The sequence below is a fragment of the Homo sapiens genome, chromosome 11, assembly GCF_000001405.40.
Source record: "Homo sapiens chromosome 11, GRCh38.p14 Primary Assembly".
NCBI classification, from domain to species: Eukaryota; Metazoa; Chordata; class Mammalia; order Primates; family Hominidae; genus Homo; species Homo sapiens.
The window spans coordinates 3,422,628-3,444,307 of NC_000011.10; the positions used below are offsets into that span (position 1 = coordinate 3,422,628).

The 21,680-nt window shown below is 48.3% G+C and overlaps 1 pseudogene, besides 4 other annotated features; it reads right to left on the bottom strand.

Moving 5' to 3' along the window:
* Positions 452-661: a silencer, noted in NCBI's record as "silent region_3079". NCBI's record gives its function as "represses an Ori minimal core promoter by ATAC-STARR-seq in GM12878 lymphoblastoid cells {active_cell/tissue: GM12878}" and the evidence as "EXISTENCE:reporter gene assay evidence [ECO:0000049][PMID:35858748]".
* Positions 4,929-5,129: a silencer, noted in NCBI's record as "peak1172 fragment used in MPRA reporter construct". NCBI's record gives its function as "represses an SCP1 promoter by STARR-seq MPRAs in K562 erythroleukemia cells {active_cell/tissue: K562}" and the evidence as "EXISTENCE:reporter gene assay evidence [ECO:0000049][PMID:32103011]".
* ENPP7P15 (ectonucleotide pyrophosphatase/phosphodiesterase 7 pseudogene 15) overlaps positions 7,131-21,680 on the bottom strand; it is a 70,864-nt pseudogene continuing 56,314 nt past the window's right edge.
* Positions 12,518-13,136: an enhancer, noted in NCBI's record as "H3K27ac-H3K4me1 hESC enhancer chr11:3456375-3456993 (GRCh37/hg19 assembly coordinates)". NCBI's record gives its function as "activates a minimal SCP1, AML or CMV promoter by ChIP-STARR-seq in primed H9 embryonic stem cells {active_cell/tissue: H9 hESC(primed)}" and the evidence as "EXISTENCE:reporter gene assay evidence [ECO:0000049][PMID:30033119]".
* Positions 14,940-15,108: a silencer, noted in NCBI's record as "fragment chr11:3458797-3458965 (GRCh37/hg19 assembly coordinates)". NCBI's record gives its function as "represses an EF-1alpha promoter that drives an FKBP-Casp9 reporter gene in an ReSE screen in K562 erythroleukemia cells {active_cell/tissue: K562}" and the evidence as "EXISTENCE:reporter gene assay evidence [ECO:0000049][PMID:32094911]".

Sequence of the window (21,680 nt, forward strand, 5' to 3'; positions counted from 1 at the left end):
TCGTGGGAGCGGCTCTAGGGCGGGGCCAGGATGAGCGTTATGAGGCGGGGGCCTGGGGTGGGGCCAGAATGAGCGTCTTGAGGGCGAGGCCTGGGGTAGGGCCAGGAGAAGCGTCGTTGGGGCAGGTCCTGGGGAGAGTTCAGGTTGGCGTGTCCTGGGGCGGGGCCAGGACAGGGCGATCCTGGAAGCGGGGCTTCGGAAACATCCAGGTTGGAGACGTCCTGGAGGCGGGGCCTTGCGTGGGGGCAGGATAAGAGTCCTGGAGGCGGGCGTTAGGGTGGGGGTAAAGGACGATTGGGTTCAGGAGGCGAGACTCGGAGCAGAGCCCAGGAGACAGGTCCTAGGGCGGGGCTAAGGCCAGACCCGGAGAACGGCTCAGGAGGCGGGGCCAGGGCGGGGCGTTGACTATGTCGTAGCACGTGGCCAGGCGCTGCTCGGACTCTGGGAGGCGGAGCTTAGGACGGGCCTACGTGGGGAGGGGCCCAGGGTCCGGGAGGCGGGGCCGAGTCCGGGCTGCTGGCTGCGCTCAGGAGGCGGGCCCTGGGAGGCGGAGCTTAGGGAGGGGCCGGTGTCGGGAGGGACCCAGGGACTGGGAGGCGGGTCGGGGCTGGGCTCAGGGGCCGAGAGGGAGCTGGGCTTGGGGCGGGGCCGAGACGGAGCGAGGGGTCCAGGGTGTGAGAAACGGGGAGGGGTTTGAGGAGGGGATTGGAGCGTGGCTCAAGTTCGGGAGGCGTTACCTGCGGAGAGTTTGAGGCAGGCCCAGGAGCGAGCCCACGGTCTGCCGACGCGGAGCCAGGGACGGGCCCCAGGATCCGGAGCTTCAGGCGGGGCCGAGTCCGGGTTTGGGGCCCGGGAGTCGGGGCCGGTTAGGGCGAGGGTCCCCGGGATCGTCCGGTCAGGCCTTGGGCCAACGTAGGCACTCTCGCAGTTCCTCCGCCTTCAGGAAGGTCTTTTTGGCAGGGGCCTTATGGGTGCGCGCTTCGGTCCTGGAGGCGTTATCCTAGCCTCCTCTCCATCAGCGCCACCCGTCCGGGGCCCGATAGGAGGGAGTTTTCCCTCTGTCCCCCACCCTTTGGACTGTCACCAAACAAGCCATTCGTTCACCAAATACTTATTAAGCGCCTACCATGTGTCTGGCAAGGGAGATGTAACAGTGAGAAAAACTAGGTGTGGTCCAGGCCCTCCAGGGGCTCAGGGGCTCGTGGAAGAAGTGGACATTGAGGTACTTATCACACAAATAAGTATAAAAGTACAATAGCGATATCTGCCACGAAGGCGAGCAGACAGAGCTAGCGGGGCTTCCAGGAGGAGTTTTGATCTTGCAGGGACAGGAAGGAGGAGTTAGCTCCTGGGGGGCGGGATTGGGGGTGGTGGTGATATAGACGTGGGGGACAGAGTGGAAAACAACAAAAATATAATTATTTTAGTTCAAAGTTATTGTGTCTTGAGTTGAAAGGCTGGGCAGTTAGCAACACAGTTCAGATTTCAGTACTGCCCCTGAAATCTGAACTGTGTTCAAAGTCTAAAACGTTTACCTTAGCAAATCCCTCATAAAACTCCATTTGGAAGAGTCCCGAGAGCTAATTTGTTCAGTGTACTTGCAAAAGGTAGATGAGGAGACAGACAAAATCTTATTACCTCTTTCAGATGAGAGGCACTTGAGCCCTGCTCAGCTGCGAGAATAAGAGAGGGGAATTAATTCTATTTGAATACACGTGTTCTCTCACAGCTGTTGTTCCCCACCAGAACCAAATGAGCGCAAGATCTGACAAAGAAAAAAAAAAAAGGTTCATCTTTTATTCCCCCAAACACTTTCATTTAAATCAAGAGGGTGGGATGTGGTTATTGCTGTGTTTTTAGACAGAATCAACAGTTTCTGGGTCTGAGATATTGCATACACCCTCTCAGTCCCTGTATCCTGAGATGGAGTCACCTGAGAATCCACAGCATGTCCTAACCTGGGATGGGTCTGGGTGATTAAGGAAGGTTGGCTTTAGAACTGGGCCGGGGCACTGCTTTGCTTTTGCTGTTTTGATCAGCTCTCTGCCTGCAGGAGAGAAGGAAAACCAATGGGAACAGGTTAGTTACACTCATAAATCCTGGGCTTATTTTATTAACTCACATAATAGCTATTAATTGCCTTTCCTCCAAGGAGCAAAAGGGCATATACGGTCAATACTATAATAAGTACCACTGTATTATGTTATACTAAAATATTAATAAATCGAGGTTGGTTCAGTCTTTCCTGATTCCATAGATTGGAAGCGGATTGAGGAAAGACCCTAGCGGACCACAGAGCTGAGCCATGCACACAGAAGAAATCTTTTCTTCTTTTGTTTTTTTTTTTGAGACGGAGTTTCGCTCTCTTGTTGCCCAGGCTGGAGTGCAATAGCGCGATCTCTGCTCACTGCAACCTCCACCTCCCGGGTTCAAGCGATTCTCCTGCCTCAGTCTCCCGAGTAGCTGGGATTACAGGCGTGAGCCACCATGCCGGGCCATTTTTGTATTTTTAGTGGAGACAGGGTTTGAACACGTTGGCCAGGCTGGTCTCAAATTCCTGACCTCAGGTGATCTGCCCTCCTCTGCCTCCCAAAGTGCTGGGATTACAGGCATGAACCACCGCGCCCGGCCAGAAGAAATCTTTATCTTGGTGTGCGGGCTCCGATGAGGGACAAATGTCATCTATCTTGGATCTGAATCTGGAAGGATCAAGGCACTGAAGGGATTTTTTTGTTTCAGAGAGTCTCCCTCTGTTGCCAGGCTGGAGTGCAGTGGCATGATCTCGTCTCCTGCAACTTCTGCCTCCCAGGCTCAAGCGATTCTCCTGCCTCAACCTCCCGAGTAGCTGGGATTACAGGCACGCGTCACCACGCCTGGCTAATTTTTGGATTTTTAGTAGAGACAGGGTTTCACCATGTTGGCCACGAGTGTCTCTTGAACTCATGATCCATCTGCCTTGGCCTCCCAAAGGGCTGGGATTACAGGCGTGAGCCACCACGCCTGGCCTCACTGAAGGGATTTTTTAATGTCACGTGGCTCTCTCAGGTGCGGTGTGTTCGGGTGCAAGTGAAGATTAGGACTGATACTTAAAACCAAACGTAAAATTCCAGGTGGTGTTGCTATGGGGAGCAGCATTAGGACAATCTGAGTGGTTTCAGTTGCAAGACTGTGCGTGTACGTGCAAGAACTACAGTCAAGGTTCAACTTCTGGCTTTTAGGGTCTCTTTAATAACAGTAATAACAACCTAAGGCAGTTTAACGGTATGGAATGGTTGCCTTTTAGAAGTTAAGCTATGGGCATGGAAGTTCAATCAGTACATTGAAGTTTTTCCTTTATCTCTCCTATGGTTAATGGTTTCTGCAGAAAAGGACCTATTGATTTCTTTCTAAAACGTTGCTTCAGGGTGTAGAGACCTTTATAGGTCATGTTTCAACTTACAGAAAATTTTATAGTTCAAATATAAATTACATTCAATGTGGACTTTGTAATAGAATTGAAGGTCAAGTAAAGTTTCCACTTTTCTTAGGCTGTTTGCAGTGCCCAGCAGGCCCCATCATATCGAGATGGAAGTTATGTTAAAGGAGGAGATTGGTCAGGGAAGGGCAGAATAAGGAATATGGGCAGCTCAGGCTAATGATACAATGATTGAGGTGTAGAAAGAGGGCCAGGCACGGGATAACGCCTGTAATCTCAGTGCTTTGGGAGGCCAAGGCAAGAGGATCACTTGAGGTCAGGAGACCAGCCTGGTCAACAGAGTGAGACCTAATCTGTACAAAAAAAAAAAAAATTAGTTGGGGATGGTGGTGTGCACCTGTAGTCTCAGCCACTTGGAAGGCTGAGGTCAGGGGATCCCTTGAGCCCAGGAGTTTGAGGCTGCAGTGAGCTATAATCACATAACTGTACTCCAGCCTGGGTGATAGGGTGAGGCCCTGACTCAGAAAAAATTGATTCAGGGAAAAAATTGGAAATCTTAATCCTCCGTACCCAGGACTGTGACCTTATTAGGAAATAGGGTATTTGTAGATGTAATCAAGTAATGATGAGTCATACTGGATTGGGGTCTGCTGGTGAGAAAGCAGATGCAACGACAGGTGTCCTTATAAAAGGAGAGAATGAGGGCCGGGCGTGGTGGCTCATGCCTGTAATCTCAGCACAATTTGGGAGGGTGAGGTGGGCGGATCACTTGAGGTCAGGAGTTGGAGACCAGCCTGGCCAACACGGTGAAACTCCATCTCTACTAACAACACAAAATTAGCACTGCGTGGTGGCGGGAGCCTGTAATCCCAGCTACTCAGGAGGCTGAGATGGGAGAATCACTGGAACCTGGGAGGCGGGGGTTGCAGTGAGCCAAGATTGTGCCACTGCACTTCAGCCTGGGTGACAGAGGGAAACTCCATCTCAAAAAAATAAAATAATAGAGGAGAATGTCAGATAAAGACAGAGACACAGGGAGAAGGCAGCCATGTGATGAGGGAGGAGAGACTGGAGCGATGCATCTACAAGGAACACCAAGCATTGCCAGCGGCCACCAGAAGCCAGAAGAGGCAAGGAAGCATTCTCTCTTACATGTTTCAGAGGAAGTGAAGCCCGGCCGACACCTTGATTTTGGGCTTCTAGCATCCAGGCCTGCGAGACAATACATTTCTGTTGTTTTCAGCCACCTGCAGGGCCCTCGTTGTTGTTGTGTTTTTTTTTTTTTTTTTTTTTTTTTTTTTTTGGAGATGGAGTTTCACTCGTGTGTCCCAGGCCGGAGTACAATGGCGCGACCTCGGCTCTCTGCAACCTCCTCCTCCCAGGTTCAAGCTATTCTCCTGCCTCAGCCTCCTGAGTAGCTGGGATTACAGGCATGCACAACCTTGTCCAGCTAATTTTTGTATTTTTAGTAGAGATGGGGTTTCACCATGTTGGCCGGGCTGGTCTCAAAATCCTGACCTCAAGTGATCGCCTGCCTCAGCCTCCCAAAGTGCTGGGATTACAGGCAAGAGCCACCGTGCTCGGTCTTGTGGTTATTTTTCTAGACAAGATCCAGCTGTGTCATCCAGGCTGGAGTGCAGTGGTACAATCTCAGCTCCTGCAACCTCGACCTCCCTGGGCTCAGGTAATTTTCCCATCTCAGCCTACAAGTAGCTGGGACTACAGGCTTGGCTAATTTCTGTATTTTCTGTAGAGATGGGGTCTTGCTATGTGGCCCAGGCTGGTCTCAAACTCCTTGGGCTCAAGCCATCTGCCTGCCCTGGCCTCCCAAAGTGCTAGGATTACAGGCATGAGCCACTATCCCTGGCCACCCTTGTTAAAAAATAAAGAATTTCAAGATGGTGATGGCAGATTATTAAACCACAGTGGGGACTCCTCTGTGTCCCTGTGGGACTGTCCAGGTTCAAGCCCATGAAGCCGGCCCTGGCTGCTGGGTTCTTGGAGTGCTGGACCTCCCGTGGCATGTGGCAAGGAGTTGTCATGGGTTATCACGACATATGATGATCAACTACGGGAGACCCAAAGACCACTCTGTCCTTTTTCCGACGAAGGGCTGTGTATGTCACACTAGCAGCAAACAGAACCGCAAGAGCTCCAGTGACAATGCTGAGCCCGATCACTGTGCCTTGCAGAGCAGATGCCGTCTGTACCTCCCTCCTGTTAAGAAACCAGAGGGTTTTTAATTGCCTGATTATTAAGAGGCTGTTCTGGCTGCTCCTGGTTCCCTGGGAAGTTTTCCATCTAGCCGCCAGTGAGTATTCATTATGGAAATGAAGTGTACATTGAACCCAAGAAAATGCTCACTCTAGAGAAATCTCATAGGGCAAGTCGTTGAAAGCCGATTTACTAAATGACCTCTTCACCAAATGACCCATTTGCCTAATGACCACTTTGCCAAATGATCAATTTGCTGAAAGCCAATTCGCTGAAAATCTGTTTGTGGGATGTCCTGCTTATCAGTAACTGACAGTCAGACGCAGCTTATCCCAGGCTCCCAGTGGGATGTGGGACAGGGGAGGGGCTACAAAATAGTTGTAGCAAAACTCCAAAACTTAAAAAGCAGAAAAATCCTCCATAATTTGGTGAATTGGTCCTTCATTTAATTAGTTTTGTACAAAAGGGACTGCTTTCTTTATGTTCACAAGGAGATCATGGGCAGTGGCTTACAAGAAGAGAAAGGATGTATATCACCCCTGCCCTCCCCTCTTTTCCTTTTTTTTTTTTAAAGCAGGAATCGGAGTGCCGTAGTACAATCACAGCTCACTGCAGCCTCCAACTCCTGGGTTCCAGCGATCCTCCCGCCTCAGCCTCCCCAGTAGCTGGGACTACAGGCATGTGACACTACATCCAGCTAATTTATTGTAGAGACAGGGTCTCACTATGTTGCCCAGGCTGGTCTCAAGCTCCTGGCCCCAAGTGATCCTCCTACCTCGTCCTCCCAAAGTCCCAAGTATGAGCCACTGTGCCCAGCCCATTACTCCTTTTTGCATGTAATTGCTTTAAGCGTTCGTTAGATCACTGGACAGTATCCAAGTCTCTCCTGGCAAAAGGAAAGATAGCCAGTGTTTGTAAACAACCCACAAAAGAAGGCAATAGCAAATTCTGAGATGATTTTATTCTTCCTTTGTATTACCCAAATTGAAGGGGTTTGAAGTCTTGAGAATTTGCAGTCTCGTTTCAGACTCTCCCTTCTCCTTTTTTCAGCATCGAGGGAACAGCAGGGTTTTGCTCCTCCCCTATGAAGAGCTTTCTGTGCTATTGAAGGAGGGCTGATTTCCGTATCTGGAAGGGGCATCTTGGAGACAGACTATACACAGTGATTTCCTTAGGACCGGAAAGATTACAGCCCAACTTTCTCTATAGAGCACAGTCCCTTTGCCTAAAAGGCACTATGTCAAATGTTACCAGCAGGTCGAGGGATTCCCTACCTCCCGTGCTATCTGTATGGAGCTGTTGACATCTTGTTCCTGGGGCTCCAAAGCTGCTGGGAAACAGGATTGTTCTGCTTGAATTCCCTCCTCCCCACCATGAGACCCCTTTTTGATTCTTTTCTATGTCAGGACAGAGCAGACTCTGCTGACAGTTTTCTGGCAGCTGCTTTTGTGTCTCACCTGGCTGCTGGTCATAAGAGTTCATGAGCATTTCCTGGGTGACTGCCAGGGAGCCGTTGTGGGTTTGGGGGTGACTCCCAGGAGCTTACACACGAATGGGTAGATGTGGATGCTGTTAAAAGGATCGGCCAGGCGATTCCTCTTGAAATCTGGCCCGAAAGCTCTGAATATGATGTTCATGTCCATGAGGACATTATCAAAGCCATGGCTGCCTTTGCTGAAACACATTATAATTCTCTGAAAACTAATAACAATAAAAAAGCCATTTTAGATTCCAATCCGCTGAAAGAAAACTGTCCCTTTGTTAATGTCATGCTTGTTGGATCCATGAAGTCTTTGAGAATTTAAACTACAAGGACACTGCTCTCTGTGGTGGTGGAGAGAATACCAAGGATTTAAAGGTCTTTAAGAAAGAGAATGTAGAAAGTGTACCCATTGGAAACAGCAAGATGATGATAATCGTACTGACAGTAATAATAAGCTCAAATATATAGAGCTTACTATGTATCATGAATTGTTCTGAATGCTTCATAAATATACGTTCCCTCCTTTACCGTCATGGCAGCCCAGTAAAGGCGCCATTCCCCATTTTACAGCTGGGGAAACTGAGTTACAGAGCTTGACTGCACTGAGTCAACAGGAGCAAATGCTAGATCAGGTAATGGAACCCAAGCAATCTGGTTCCAGAGCCAAATAAGTGTATTTTTTATGGTATAAATACACATACATACATTTTTAGGGGAAAGGTGGGGGTAGGATGGGATGAGGATTCTGGGTAATTGCTTGGTAAATGCCAAATACCTTTCTTGTCTGTCCTTCTTTTCAAATGATAAAATAATGTCAATTGCAACACTTTTTTTTTTTTGAGACAAGGTCTAGCTGGAGTACGGTGATGCAGTCATAGCCCACTGCAGCCTCAAATTCCTGGGCTCAAGCAATCCACCCACATCAGGTTCCCAAGTAGTTGGGACTACAGGCCCACACTACTATGCCCAGCTAATTATTTTAATTTTTGTAGAGATGGCAGGTGGCGGTGAGGGGCGGGCGGTTTTGCTATGTTGCCCAGGCTGGTCTCAAACTCTTGACCTCAAGTGAACCTCCTGCCTCAGCCCCACAAAGCTCTGAAGTTATAGGCACGAGCCACTGTGGCTGGCTACAATACTATTTATTTATATTTTAGACCAACAGATATTATAGCATATAAGAAATGTGATGTTCTCTGCACATTGAAGAGTTGGTCTAATATTTGCCCTGGTGGATACAGAAATTGCCTGTCTGCTCCGCTCTGGTTGAAGAAACCAGTCCGACTGTCTCTGAGGCTATGGAGCAGTCCATCAAGAATGAAAGCCCTCTGCCAGGCACATTGGCTCACACCTGTAATACCAGCGCTTTGGGAGGCCGAGGCAAGTGGATCACTTGAAGTCACGAGTTTGACACCAGCATGGCCAACATGGTGAAACGCTGTCTCTACAGAAAATAGAAAAATTAGCTGGGCCTGGTGACACGTGCCTGTAATGCCAGCTACTCAGGAGGCTGAGGCAAGAGAATCACTTGAACCTGGGAGGCAGAGGTGGCAGTGGGGAGCTGAGATCACACCACTGCATTCCAGCCTGGGCGACAGAGCGAGACTCTCTCAAAAAAAAAAAAAAAAAAGAATGAATGTCCTCATGATGGCCTCAAGCACATTGGTCCCTGAAGAGAGCCAAGGAAGGCCCACTTTACTCTGCACTGCAAAGCAGGCAGGTGGACAGGATGAGAAATGGATTCAGTGAGAGGCATTGACCCAAAGGATTTTCTGCCTAATGGTCGGTTCAGCAGAAGATTAAACTGAGCACAGCATCCTGTTCCCTCAAACTATCTGGTTGGTCAGTGGGGAATGTTCTTGTCTCGTTAAATGTCCTCATGCTACTGTCAAGATATCCTGTTACAAATCATCATAAACCAGGTTTACAAATAGGCCAGGTGACTGTGGAATTTCTCCTTGACAAGGCCTTAGCTATGGGCGTGTGATTGGTGTGCAGTAATCACAGTGTTCCGGGCCACTTGAGGGATAAAATATACCTTAGGTGATAAACTGTTGTATTTTAATGTGAATATTTCCACCAACATTAAACAGTAACCCCATGAGTTTTCTCATACCTGTTACACTCTGGAGTTGCAACAAGCTGACATGAAGCAAGTTGCAAACAGAATTATCGCATTTGGCTCCTATTCACAGCAAGGGTTCTTCAAGCTGTACCTGGGGCAGTCTTCCCTCACATGAGGTTTATAGCATCATTTATTTCATTATTTATTTATTTTTTGAGATGGAGTTTCGCTCTGTCACCCAGGCTGGAGTGCAATGGTGCGATCTTGGCTCACTGCAACCTCCGCCCCCCCGGGGTTCAAGCGATTCTCCTGCCTCCGCCTCCTGAGTAGCTGGGATTATAGGCACCCGCTACCACGCCTGGCTAATTTTTGTATTTTTAGTAGAGACGGGGTTTCACCATGTTGACCGGGCTGGTCTCAAACTCCTGACCTCAGGTGATCCACCCGCCTCAGCCTCCCAAAGTGTTGGGATTACTAGCGTGAGCCACGGGGCCCTGCTATAGCATCATTTCAACTTTGTTTCTGCCATGAAGTTTTAATTGGTAGTTAACAAAAAATAGACCACCTCATTTATGTCTCACAGTTAGCATTGGTTTTTGTGTTTTCTTTAGGCTTGTTTTTTAATTGTTTTTAAAATTGTGAAACAGGGTCTTGTTCTGTTGCTGATGCCAGATTGCAGTGATACAGTCTTGGCTCACTGCAGCCTCAACCTCCTGGGCTCAAGCAATCCTCCCACTTTAGCCTCCTGAGTAGCTGGGACTACAAACACAAGCCGCCACCGCTGGCTAATTTTTAATTTTTTTTTTTTGAAATGGAGTTTCGCTCTGTCTCCCAGCAGGTTGGAGTGCAGTAGGGTAATCTCAGCTCACTGCAACCTCCACCTCTCGGGTTCAAGCGATTCTCCTGCCTCAGTCCCGGCACCCACCACCATGCCTGGCTAATTTTTAAAAAATATTTTTAGTAGCGACAGGGTTTCATCATGTTGGCCAGGCTGGTCTTGAACTGCTGACCTCAAGTGATCCACCTACCTCGGCCTCCCAAAGTGCTGGGATTACAGGCGTGAGGCACCACGCCAAGCCTAATTTTTAAATTTTTTGTAGAGACCAGGTTTTGCCATATTGTCTAGGCTGGTCTTGAACTCCTGGGCTCAAGTGATCCTCCTGCCTTGGCCTCTCAAAGTGCTGGGATTACAGGCATGGCCCTTATGCCTGGCCCTTAAAGCTGCTTTTTAATAACAGCCTTGCTGAAAGATAATTCACTTACCATACAATTTACCCATTTAAAGTGTACAATTTGGCCGGGCATGGTGGCTCACACTTGTAATCCCAGCACTTTGGGAGGCTGAGGTGGGAGGATCGCTTGAACCCAAGAGTTTGAGATGAGCCCGAGCAACATGGCAAAACCCTGTCTTAACCAAAAATACAAAAAAAATTAGCTGGGTGTGGTGGGTGTGTCTGTAGTCCCAGCTACTCAGGAGGCTGAAGTGGGAGGATGGTTTGAGCCCGGGAGGTGGAGGGTGCAGTGAGTTGAGATTGCACCACTGCCCTCCATCCTCGGCAACAGAGCCAGACCCTGTCTCTAAATAAATAAATAAAGTGTATAATTCAGTGGTTTTTAATATATTCACAGAGTTGTGCAGCCATCACCACCATCAGTTTTAGAAATTTTAATAACCCCAGAAGAGACCCTGTATCCATTAGCAGTCACCCCTTATTTCCCCCTGACTATCCCCACCCCTGGCTCCTGGCAACCATTAATCTACTTTGTTTCTTTGGATTTTCATATTCTGGGCATATATATATACATATATGCGTGTGTGTGTGTGTGTGTATGTATATATATATATATATATATATATATATATATATAATCATCTACTATTTGTCTGGCTTCTTTCACTTAGCCTAATGGTTTCAAAGTGTATCCTGGTTGTAGCATGAATCAGCCCTTCATTCTATATTTTGGCTGATTAATGTTCCATCACACGGGTAGACTGTACTTGTTTGCCCATTCAACTGTTGTTGATAGGCATTTGTGTTGTTGCCACCTTGTGACAATTATGAATAATTTTGCTACGAGCATCTGTGTGTGTCTTTGTATGAACAGGCTTGCATATTTTTTGATATGGGCAAATAAGAACTAGTGGCGGGAGGCCTTTGTGGTGAATTTTTTGGTGATCTTTGTGTACTCTGTATAATGATCAGCCACGCAGGCTTGGGGGCAGCACTTAACCTTCCATTTGTTTCTTTTTTTTAAGATAGGGTTTCTCTCTCTGCCACCCAGGCCAGAGCGCAGTTGACGCAGGGCAGGAGAGCCCCCAAGTGGAGCATAGTGTGTCCGGAACTGGGGGGTTCTTGGTCTCACAGACTTTAAGAATGAAGCCACGGACCCTCGCGGTGAGCGTCACCGTTCTTAAAGGCAGCGTGTCCGGAGTTTTTTCCTTCTGATGCTCGGATGTTTTCAGAGTTTCTTCCTTCTGGTGGGTTCCTGGTCTTGCTGGCTTCAGCAGTGAAGTTGCAGACCTTCGAGGTGAGTGTTACAGCTCTTAAAGCTGCATGTCTGGAGTTGTTTGTTCCTCCCAGTGGGTTCATAGTCTCACTGGCTTCAGCAGTGAAACTGCAGACCTTCAAGGTGAGTGTTATAGCTCATAAAGGCAGTGTGGACCCAAAGAGTCAGCAGCAGCAAGATTTATTGCAAAGAGCAAAAGAACAAAGCTTCCACAGTGTGGAAAGGGACCCCAGCGCATTGCCACTGCTGGCTCGGGCAGCTTGCTTTTATTCTCTTATCTGGCCCCACCCACATCCTGCTGATTGGTCCATTTTACAGAGAGCCGATTGGTCTGTTTTACAGAGAGCTGATTAGTCCGTTTTGACAGGGTGCTGATTGGTGCATTTATAATCCCTGAGATAGACCCAAAAGTTCTCCAAGTCCCTACTAGATTAGCTAGATAGAGGGTGTCCATTGGTGCATTCACAAACCCTGAGCTAGACACAGGGTGCTGATTGGTGTGTTTACAAACCTTGAGCTAGATACAGAGGGCCGATTGGTGTATTTACAATCCCTCAGCTAGACATAAAGGTTCTCCAAGTCCCCACCAGACTCAGGAGCCCAGCTGGCTTCACCCAGTGGATCCCACACCAGGGCCGCAAGTGGAGCTACCTGCCAGTCCCACGCCCAGCACCAGCACTCCTCAGCCCTTGGGTGGTTGATGGGACTGGGCGCTGTGGAGCAGGGGGCAGTGCTCACTGGGGAGGCTCGGGCCACGCAGGATCCCACGGCGGGTAGTGGGGAGGCTCAGGCATGGCAGGCTGCAGGTCCCGAGCCCTGCCCTGCGGAGAGGCAGCTAAGGCCCGGTGAGAAATCGAGCACAGCAACCACTGGCCCAGGTGCTAAGCCCCTCACTGCCCAGGGACGGCGGGGCTGGCTGGCCGATCCGAGTGTGGGCCTGCCGAGCCCGTGCCCACCCGGCACTCGCGCTGGCCCGCAAGCGCCGCGCCCAGCCCTGGTTCCCGCCCGCGCCTCTCCCTCTACACCTCCCCGCAAGCTGAGGGAGACGCCTCCAGCCTCGGCCAGCTCAGGAAGGGGCTCCCACAGTACAACAGTGGGCTGAAGGGCTCCTCAAGTGCTGCCAAATTGGGAGCCCAGGCAGAGGAGGCACCGAGAGTGAGCTCCAGGGCTGCCAGAACGCTGACACCTCTCAATAGCACATGAGGGTTCTTGCCTTTGCCCAGGAAAGAATTCAAGGGCAAGCTGGAGGTTTAGAAGAAAACAGCTTTATTGAAGAGGCAGTGTTACAGCCCTGTGACTGCTCCTGTAGGGCAGGGCTAGCCTGGAGGCAGAGAGTAGAGGCAGAGAGTTTGCAATCACATTTATACCCACTTTTAATCGCATGTAGATTAAAGGGCAGTTTATGCAGGAATTTCTAGAAAATTGGTAGTAACTTTTGAGTCATTGGATCATTGTCATGGAAAGTGGCAGTAACTCCCGGGTGTTGCCATGGCAATAGTAAACTCACATGGCACATTGGTGGGCATGTCTGGTGGAAAGCTGCTTCTGCCCCAGCCCTGTTTTAGCTAGTCCTCAATTTGGTCTGGTGTCCAAGCCCTGCCTGTGGAGTCAAGTCCTGCCTCCTATCTCACAGTGGCGTGATCATGGCTCACTGCAGTCTCAACACCCCCGGGCTCAAGCAGTTCTCCCACCTCAGCCTCCTGAGTTGCTGGGACCACAGGCACGTGCCACTATGCCCAGCTACAGTTTTTTGCATTTTTTGTAGAGATGGTGTTTCACTGTGTTGCCCAGGCTGGTCTCAAACTCCTGAGCTCAAGCAGTCTACCTACCTTAGCCTTCTAAAGTGCTGGGCTTACAGGTGTGAGCCGCTGCACCCAGCCCAAGCTTACATTTTTAATCTCAAGTCACTTCTCTCTAGGTTTTGATTTCTTCTTTAAAATGGTGGAACTAAGAGCATCTATTTTATAGGGTTGTTGGGAAGACAAAAATGAAAGAACTGCTATTCAATGTTTAGCGAAGCGCTACGCACAATTTTGAATAATGAAGTTGCTGTTTATTTTTTATTTTTTATTTATTTTTTAGAGACGGGGTCTTGCTCTGTTGCTCAAGCTGGAGTGCAGTGGTGCAATCACAGCTTACTGCAGCCTTGACCTCCTGGGCTCAAGAAATCCTGCCACCTCAGCCTCCTGAGTAGCTGGGACTACAGGCATGCATTGACATGTCTGGCTATTTATTTATTTGTTTGTTTTTTGTAGATATGGGGTCTCCCTATGTTGCCCGGGCTGGTCTTGAACTCCTGGCCTTAAGCAATCCTCCTGTCTTGGCCTCCCAAAGCACTGAGATTACAGGTGTGAACCACCATGGCCAGCCTTATTTTTATTTTTAAATCAGCCTTGTCCAGTTGAATTGGTCATTAATCTTGTATAATGGTAATTTGGGGCAGCATTGGTTGGGCGGGGGGTGGGGAACATTTGGGACCCTGTGGGCTACAACTCGTAGTATGTGCACTTATTTTATTTTATTTTGTTTTATTATATTATGTTATATTATATTTTTTTTGAGACAGGGTCTCACTCTGTTGCCCAGACTGGAGTGCAGTAGCATGATCTTGGCTCACTGCAGCCTCTGCCTCCCAGGTTCAAGCGATTCTCCTGCCTCAGCCTCCAGAGTAGCTGGAACTACAGATGCACGCCATCACTCCCGGCTAAGTTTTGTATTTTTAGTAGAGATGGGGTTTCACCATATTGGCCAGGCTGGTCTCAAACTCCTGACCTCAGGTGATACACCTGCCTCAGCCTCCCAAAGTGCTGGGATTATAGGCGTGAGCCACCGTGCCTGGCTGTGCACTTATGTTTGATTTTTGAGAACCACCCTTCCCTAATGGTTGTCTCCTAGATCCAAGGTGACTTTATTCATTTTAGAATGAACTTATCCCATTAATACTGTAACTAGAGTTGGCATACATCACGATTGGCAGAACCCGGTCATGTTTAGCGAGATGGAAGTGTTCTGGAAACTCCTCCTTCTTGTAGACCTGGAGGTGAGGGTGCGCATTCTTCAGTGCCTGGTAAAGGGCTTCCTCTTGCCCCAATTTGGGTAGGGGCAGCCCAAAGCCACCGTAGCCCGCAATATCAAACTTGACCCAGACCCTGAACTTGATGTAGTTGGTCAAGGGATCTTGTTGACGTTGGGTCTCTTCTTCACGGTGGTCACCCCATGGTCTGATGTGATGATGACGCTGAGGTGCTCTGCAGGCTGTGCTTCTCAGTGGCTCCCACCAGATACACGATGGTCCTGCCGATTTGCTGAATCATCAACTTCCTCTTCTCTGCCTCTGGCCCGAATCGATGTCCCACGTTATCTGGCTCTCTGTAGTACAGAGTCACAAAGTCAAAGTCTTCTGTGCTGAAGCAGTTCATGACGGTATCGATGTTCTCCCTCCGCTCTGTCTCGTTGCTGTTTGGGTGAGTGTAGGACTCCACCAGGGACCGCTTGACAGCCTCACCCTCGTATTTAGCACCTCCCCTGGAATAGTGGGATGATGCTGCTTTCTTCCCCTTAAAGTACAAGAAGAAAATTCCATCAGGGCCATTTCTCATACCTTTCTCACAATCAGCAAAGCTCGAGTTATCTACATCTGTGCCCCAGTCCAAAGACATAGAAAATATGTGGTGTTTGGAGTCAGACAGGGTGGAGTTAGATTCTGGGCTTCCCCAGGATCTCATAGCATCTACAACACTTTTAGTTACAAGATGTGCTATTATTTTATGGGTTACTAAGCAGAAAAATGCTGCCAACAAGACCGTGACATTCCAGTGATTGTAAGGTGTATTCTAACTTCAGAGATGGCAAAATGAAAAATAATTCCTTAGAAAAGAGGGAGATGGTAATTTCTGAGTTGTTGGTGGTGAATCTGTGCATGTGTGTTTTTTATATATATACACACATATATATACACATACGTATACATGTATATATATATGTGTATATATAGACATAACTATATACATATACATATATATATGTGTATATATAGTGGTGCAGTGGTACAATCATACCTCATTGCACCCTTGAACTCCTGGGCTTAAGCGATCCTCCCACCTCAGCCTCTTGAGTAGCTGGGGCCACAGGCATGTACCGCCATACCTATTTTTTTTTTTTTTTGAGACACAGTGTCACTCTCTCACCTAGGCTGGAGTGCAGTGGCACGATCTCAGCTCACTGCAACTTCTGACTCCTGGGTTCAAGCAATTCTCGTGCCTCAGCCTCCCAAGTAGCTGGGATTATAGACACGTGCCACTATGCCCAGCTAAGTTTTGTGTTTTTAGTTGAGATAGAGTTTTGTCGTGTTGGCCAGGCTGGTTTCGAACGCCTGGGCTGAAGTGATCCACCTGCCTTGGCCTCCCAAAGTGCTGGGATTACATGTGTGAGCCACTGTGCCTAGTCCTAATTTTTTTTTTTTTTTTTTTTTTTAGTGTTTGTAGAGATGAGATCTCGCTAATTTGCCCAGGCTTGTCCTGAACTCCTGGGCTCAAGTAATTCTCCTGCCTCAGCCTCTCAAAGTGCTGGGATTACAGACGTGAGATACCGCGCCCGGCTGGTGGTGAGTTTTAAAATTTTCCAGTGTCTCAGTGTTTCTACCTGTAGAATGCCAAAAAGTAGATGGCATCTTTGCAAGGATTAAGCCGACTAGCTTTTTTTTTTTTTTTTTTTTTTTTGAGACAGAATTTCTCTCTTGTCACCCAGGCTGAAGTGCAGTGGCGTGATCTTGGCTCACTGCAACCTCTGCCTCCTGAATTTAAGTGATTCTCCTGCCTCAGCCTCCCAAGTAGCTGGGATTAAAAAGCCAGCTAGCTTTAAGATACAGTGTTGGGCATCACATTTTGGCACGGAGCAGGCACTCTTTTCTTTGCCCCCACGTGGGACTAAGCCACCACAAGCCTTCCCTGGTGTGTGCAGTAGGTAATGAATGCTTGCCTGCTCAGCACCCACTACATGCTGGGCTGGGTCACATTACTCTGACTCCCCCTTGAGCTTCAGTCCATGCCTGGTTCAAGATGTATTGACTCAACTCGAGGATCCGGAGGTGGGATGTGGCTCTGGCCTGGCCAGAGGACCGAGGATGCTGCATGCCATGGCTACAGCAACCGGTTCAGCTTTGGGCTCATGTCCTAGTCAGAGCCAATGAGATGTAATCTTGGGATATCTGCTGGGCTGTTCGGAGGGGACAGGCTGCCCTGCTCATCCCCATTCCTGATGCTGAGGGATCTGAGAAAATCACTTGTAAAATTCGGGGCTGTTTGGAAGAAGGGGAGACTGATGTCTCCTTCTCTCTACAGACATCTGCTCAGCTACAGAGCTTGACTGACCTACCCAGAGGCAGAATGATATGGTGGTTAAAAGTGTGCTATGGGCCGAGATCTTGCCATTGCACTCCAGCCTGGGTGACAGAGTGTGACTCCGTCTCAAAAAAAAAAAAAGTGTGCTCTGGGCTGGGCGCGGGGGCTTACGACTGTAATCCCAGCACTTTGGGAGGCTGAGGCAGGAGGATCGCTTGAAGTCAGGAGTTTGGGATCAGACCCTATATCTAGAAAAATGTTTTTAAACAATTAGCTGGGTTGGTGGTGAATGCCTGTAGTCCCAGCTACTCGGGAGGCTGAGGCAGGAAGATTGCTGGATCCCGGGAGTTCAAGGCTGCAGTGAGCTATGATCAGGCCACTGCACTCCAGTTTGAGGGACAGAGAGAGACCGCATCTCCCTAAAGAACAAAAATGTGTGCTCTGGTGCCGCACTGCCTGGTTAGATCCTTTGTCCACCACTTAGATGCATGTTATATAAATGCTCTCCTCAGTTTCCTCGTCTGTAACTTGGGGACGATAGTGCTGCCCCATGAAGTGGTTGTGGGGGCTAAATGCACGTGGGCACATTGGTAAGCATTCAACAAGCTTGATTTTTCCTGGAGAGGGAGAAAGAGCATACAGTGAAGTGGCATGGTCAGGTGCATTGGGGTAAAGATTATTTCCTCTGGCTTCTGCCTCCTGGGAGGTACTAAGGATGGATGTGAAATGTGTCTGCAGACCCCAGAGTTGGGGACTGCAGACAGAAATTGAGATCAGGGCCCCAGTCTGGCAGAAATGGGTGCAGCATGGGGCATTGGGTTCCTTCCATCAAAGGCATGGGGTGTGTTGCAGACAGTCATGAGATGTGGCTGAATCTTGCAAGGGAGCCGCGGTCCTAGGGTTGCTGCTTGAGACAAAGACTGCTGTCAGTGGAACCTGGTGACCTTCACCCTTCTGTGTCAGGCTGCAGACAGCAAGAGATGGCAGCAGATTACACCCAACAGGAAAAGGGCCATTGCCATCCCACAGGTTGCCATAGGAGGAGATGACATCTCTCCCTCTCCTCCTCCAGCAGTGTCAGCTGGGGAAGAGGTGGGTGGGTTTGCACAAAAGAGTAGACCACAGACCATGCTCCTTCTCCTCCAGTCTGCTGGGGCCCCAAGAGAGTCTGCAGCCCTTGGCCAGGGACCAGCTGACACAGGAGAACAAAAGACCTTAGGTTGGGATAACATGGTGGTGCAGTTCATCCTCTGGAGCTCCCTGTGAGATCAGACTGGAGCTGGTGTCCAGCTGAGACCACATCTCACTCAGATCCTTCCCTGCCATATCCTGTTTCCCTTACTCCTATCTCCTGAGAGTTCTTCCTGAATGAATTACATGCATTTAATCCCTGCCTCAGGCTCTGCTTTTAGGGAACTTGACGTAAGACAGAAATCTTAGTACTAAATACTTTGCAAGGCCTCAGAAGCTCTGCTATCCACAAGCGAGATATTACCTTCCTACCACCTGGCAGTCATAGTCTATGATGAGATTCAGCTTTATGGAAGTGCTTCTCTAAAGAACTTCCCCCAATTTAAGACGATCTAAATTTGCTTACTTGTTTACTATCCATTTAGCTGCTCTAAAATATGAGCTCCAAATCAGGGGCCATGTCTGGTTGGTTACTCATTTCCTGAGACCTAGAACGGGCCTAGCTCAGAGCAGGTGCTCACTATTGATGGAATGCATGCTGAAAGAATGCGTGAATCTCATCTCTTTTTGTGGGTGAAAAACTCATCCTATTCTCACCCTGATTAACTTTCTTTCTTTCTTTATTTTTTTTTTTTCAAAATGGAGCCATGATCTGTCACCCAGGCTGGAGTACAATGGTGTGATCTCAGCTAGCTGCAACCTCTGCCTTCTGGATTAAACCAATTCTCCTGCCTCAGCCTCCTGGGTAGCTGGGATTACAGGTGTATACCACCACGCCCGGCTAATTTTTTGTATTTTTAATAGAGACAGTGTTTCACCATGTTGGCCAGGCTGGTCCCGAAATCCTGACCTCGTGATCCACCCTCTTTGGCCTCCCAAAGTCCTGGGATTACAGGCATGAGCCACCGTACCCAGCCACTCTTGATTAACTTTATGGAAATATTTACAGAGATTCTTTCTCTTCTGGGTTCTAGCGTCTTATCTGTAACCTCTGCAGGTAATACATTTTCCTTCCTGATGATAGCATTTCTATGGTTGCTTTCACTTGGAAATCCTCTAATACTTATTTATTCCATTTCTGATTGGCATTAGACATAATTCTCAATTTTTAGTGACAGCACTTCGTTTAACTTACATATAAATCGACTTTGCCTTGAAATGTGACATTGACTAGAAGGATGAAACTTCTAACCTGCTGTAGAACATAGTTTGACTGGCTAATTTATTATTTAGAAGAAGCTAATATTGCCATTATGAGGGACTTAGGTGACTCTGAAGAACCAGTTGCATTTCTAATGTTTGCAATGTTAAATCACAGATATTGCCAACGTGAAATAGTTTCCATATGCTGTGTTCTCAATACACACCTTTTCCAAAGATATCCCAAGCTGTAGTCTTAGAAAACTGTGATTTTTCTTATTTGGTCTCACAGGAATTTGGGGAGCTATGCGGGATCTCCATAAAATGAGCTCCAGAAAGACACATGTGTGCACATACACACACACACACACACACGCACACACTCTCACACATGTACCACACCACACTTGACTCTGTTTATTTGGGACCCATGATTATCAGAAGTGCTATTTTTAACAAATACTTTTGAGAAATAATCTGAACACTTAATTGGATGCAAAAGAGTGGCTATTTACTATTCTACACTTTAATTAGCATAGTCAGTGTTTACAGCAGCAAAAGCATTGGAAAATCGCTAGTTTTATTAGGTTCATAATTCTCCCTTAGCGTAGTGTGGTGTCAGCATGGCTATTATTCTTAAATTGCCTCTTTAAAACAAGAGCTGGTGCTTCTTACAGGCAATTCCTAACTCTTGGGTTTTGTAGAGGGTCCAAAACTCTTTAGAACCTATAATTCAAGGAAAGGCTCCACTTTGGTTTTGCATTTTTTCTGGTCTCTTTGGGTGACAGAATTTATGTCACAAGGTGCACATGGTTGGGGGAGGCTCATGGACAGCCCATCGCGCTTGTGCTTTGGTAGGAAGTATGTGCCGTTAAGGGGAAGGAGTTAGTTACTGATTCTAGGGAACAATTGGGTAGAAAGAGATGGACTCCCTGTGTTTGAAATTCAGAACTCAAGCTTGGCTCTAAGTGTTTCCTTGCTTTGCTGTGCTCCAGGGGAGTCACTGAGCAGAAGGAAGCGAGTTGCCTGAGATTCCTCAAATCCTGCAGCCCTTTTGGAGGTTACATTGTTATTCTCAGAGCCTTTAGGATGCATAATAAAGACCTAGCTTGGACCAATATTAGGATGAGTTATCTTGCTATTAACATTCTTTTAGGTAGAAGTTGCTTTTAGGTAGAAGTTGGTCCCGTCTTGCTCACAATCCTCCAAAGTTTGGAAGTCACTTTCCAGGAGACTTAGCTTGCACTGAGAGCTGCCCTCCCACCCTCTCTCCAAATTTCCTCTTGGGAGTAGCCTAACAAGGTGCTGTCACAGACCCTTGCCAGCCACGATGACCCCACCCAGACCATCCCTCTGCTGTTTCAGTCTTTGATATTCTCTGGAGCTCCCCGGGTAGGGGATGAGACCTGCTGTCTGGTTTGTACAGTTTGACCAGGTCTTACAGTCATGGCTGGCTGCCTGTCTCTGAGAACTGGGACTCCTGAACTTGGTGAAATACCTCAGCCATTGATCATGTTAAATTATCGGGGACACTAATTTAAAATCTGAGTCTGCTCCGGATGGACTCTCTCTCTTTCTGCCCTGACCATGAGAGAGAGAGATCGTGAGAGAGAGAGACCGTGAGAAAGATCGAGAGAGAGAGACCGTGCCCTGACCTGCTGGACAGTGGAGATGCTCGTGGGCTGTGAGCAAGGGATGCAAAGGCTGCCGGGAATCCCATCTTTCCAGCACCATCTGCCAAAGCACATCAGTTCCTGGGTGTCTTGATGGATTCTGGCAGCATTACTGTCATTGAAGGAAAACATTTTAGCCATATTAAAGGTGAATGCAGCAATCTCCACACAGGCTGCCTGGAAGGGACGCGGGACAAGAGTAGGTTTTCCCTGTGATGGACAGGAGGTAGGCGGCCCTCCCACAGCCCTGCCTGGCAAAGCAGATGTGTCCCCAAAAGGCACTGGGGGCAGCTGGAGTGCTGTGTCGAGGCGGGCTCACCCGGGCCCTGGGTTCGCTCTGATTGCAGCGGTTTCCCGCCAGCTCCTTGGAGAGCTGGCAGATGACCCAGCCCCACAGCAGGAGCTGTGAATGGCAGAACGAGATACAACAATTAGATATCCACTTGCCAGATGAGCCGGGTGTCGTCAGTCGCCTGGCTCTGCGCCAACCTCTTTTTGCACAAACACTTATGAATTCAGCCAGAAGGAAAAGCACTCTGATTATGAATTGAGCAGAAGGAAACAAAGTTCTGCAGATAAACACCAATGAGACAAAAAAACCACAATTAAGAAAAATGACAGAAAAGGAGAACCTTCCCAGAAGCCTCCTGCCAGT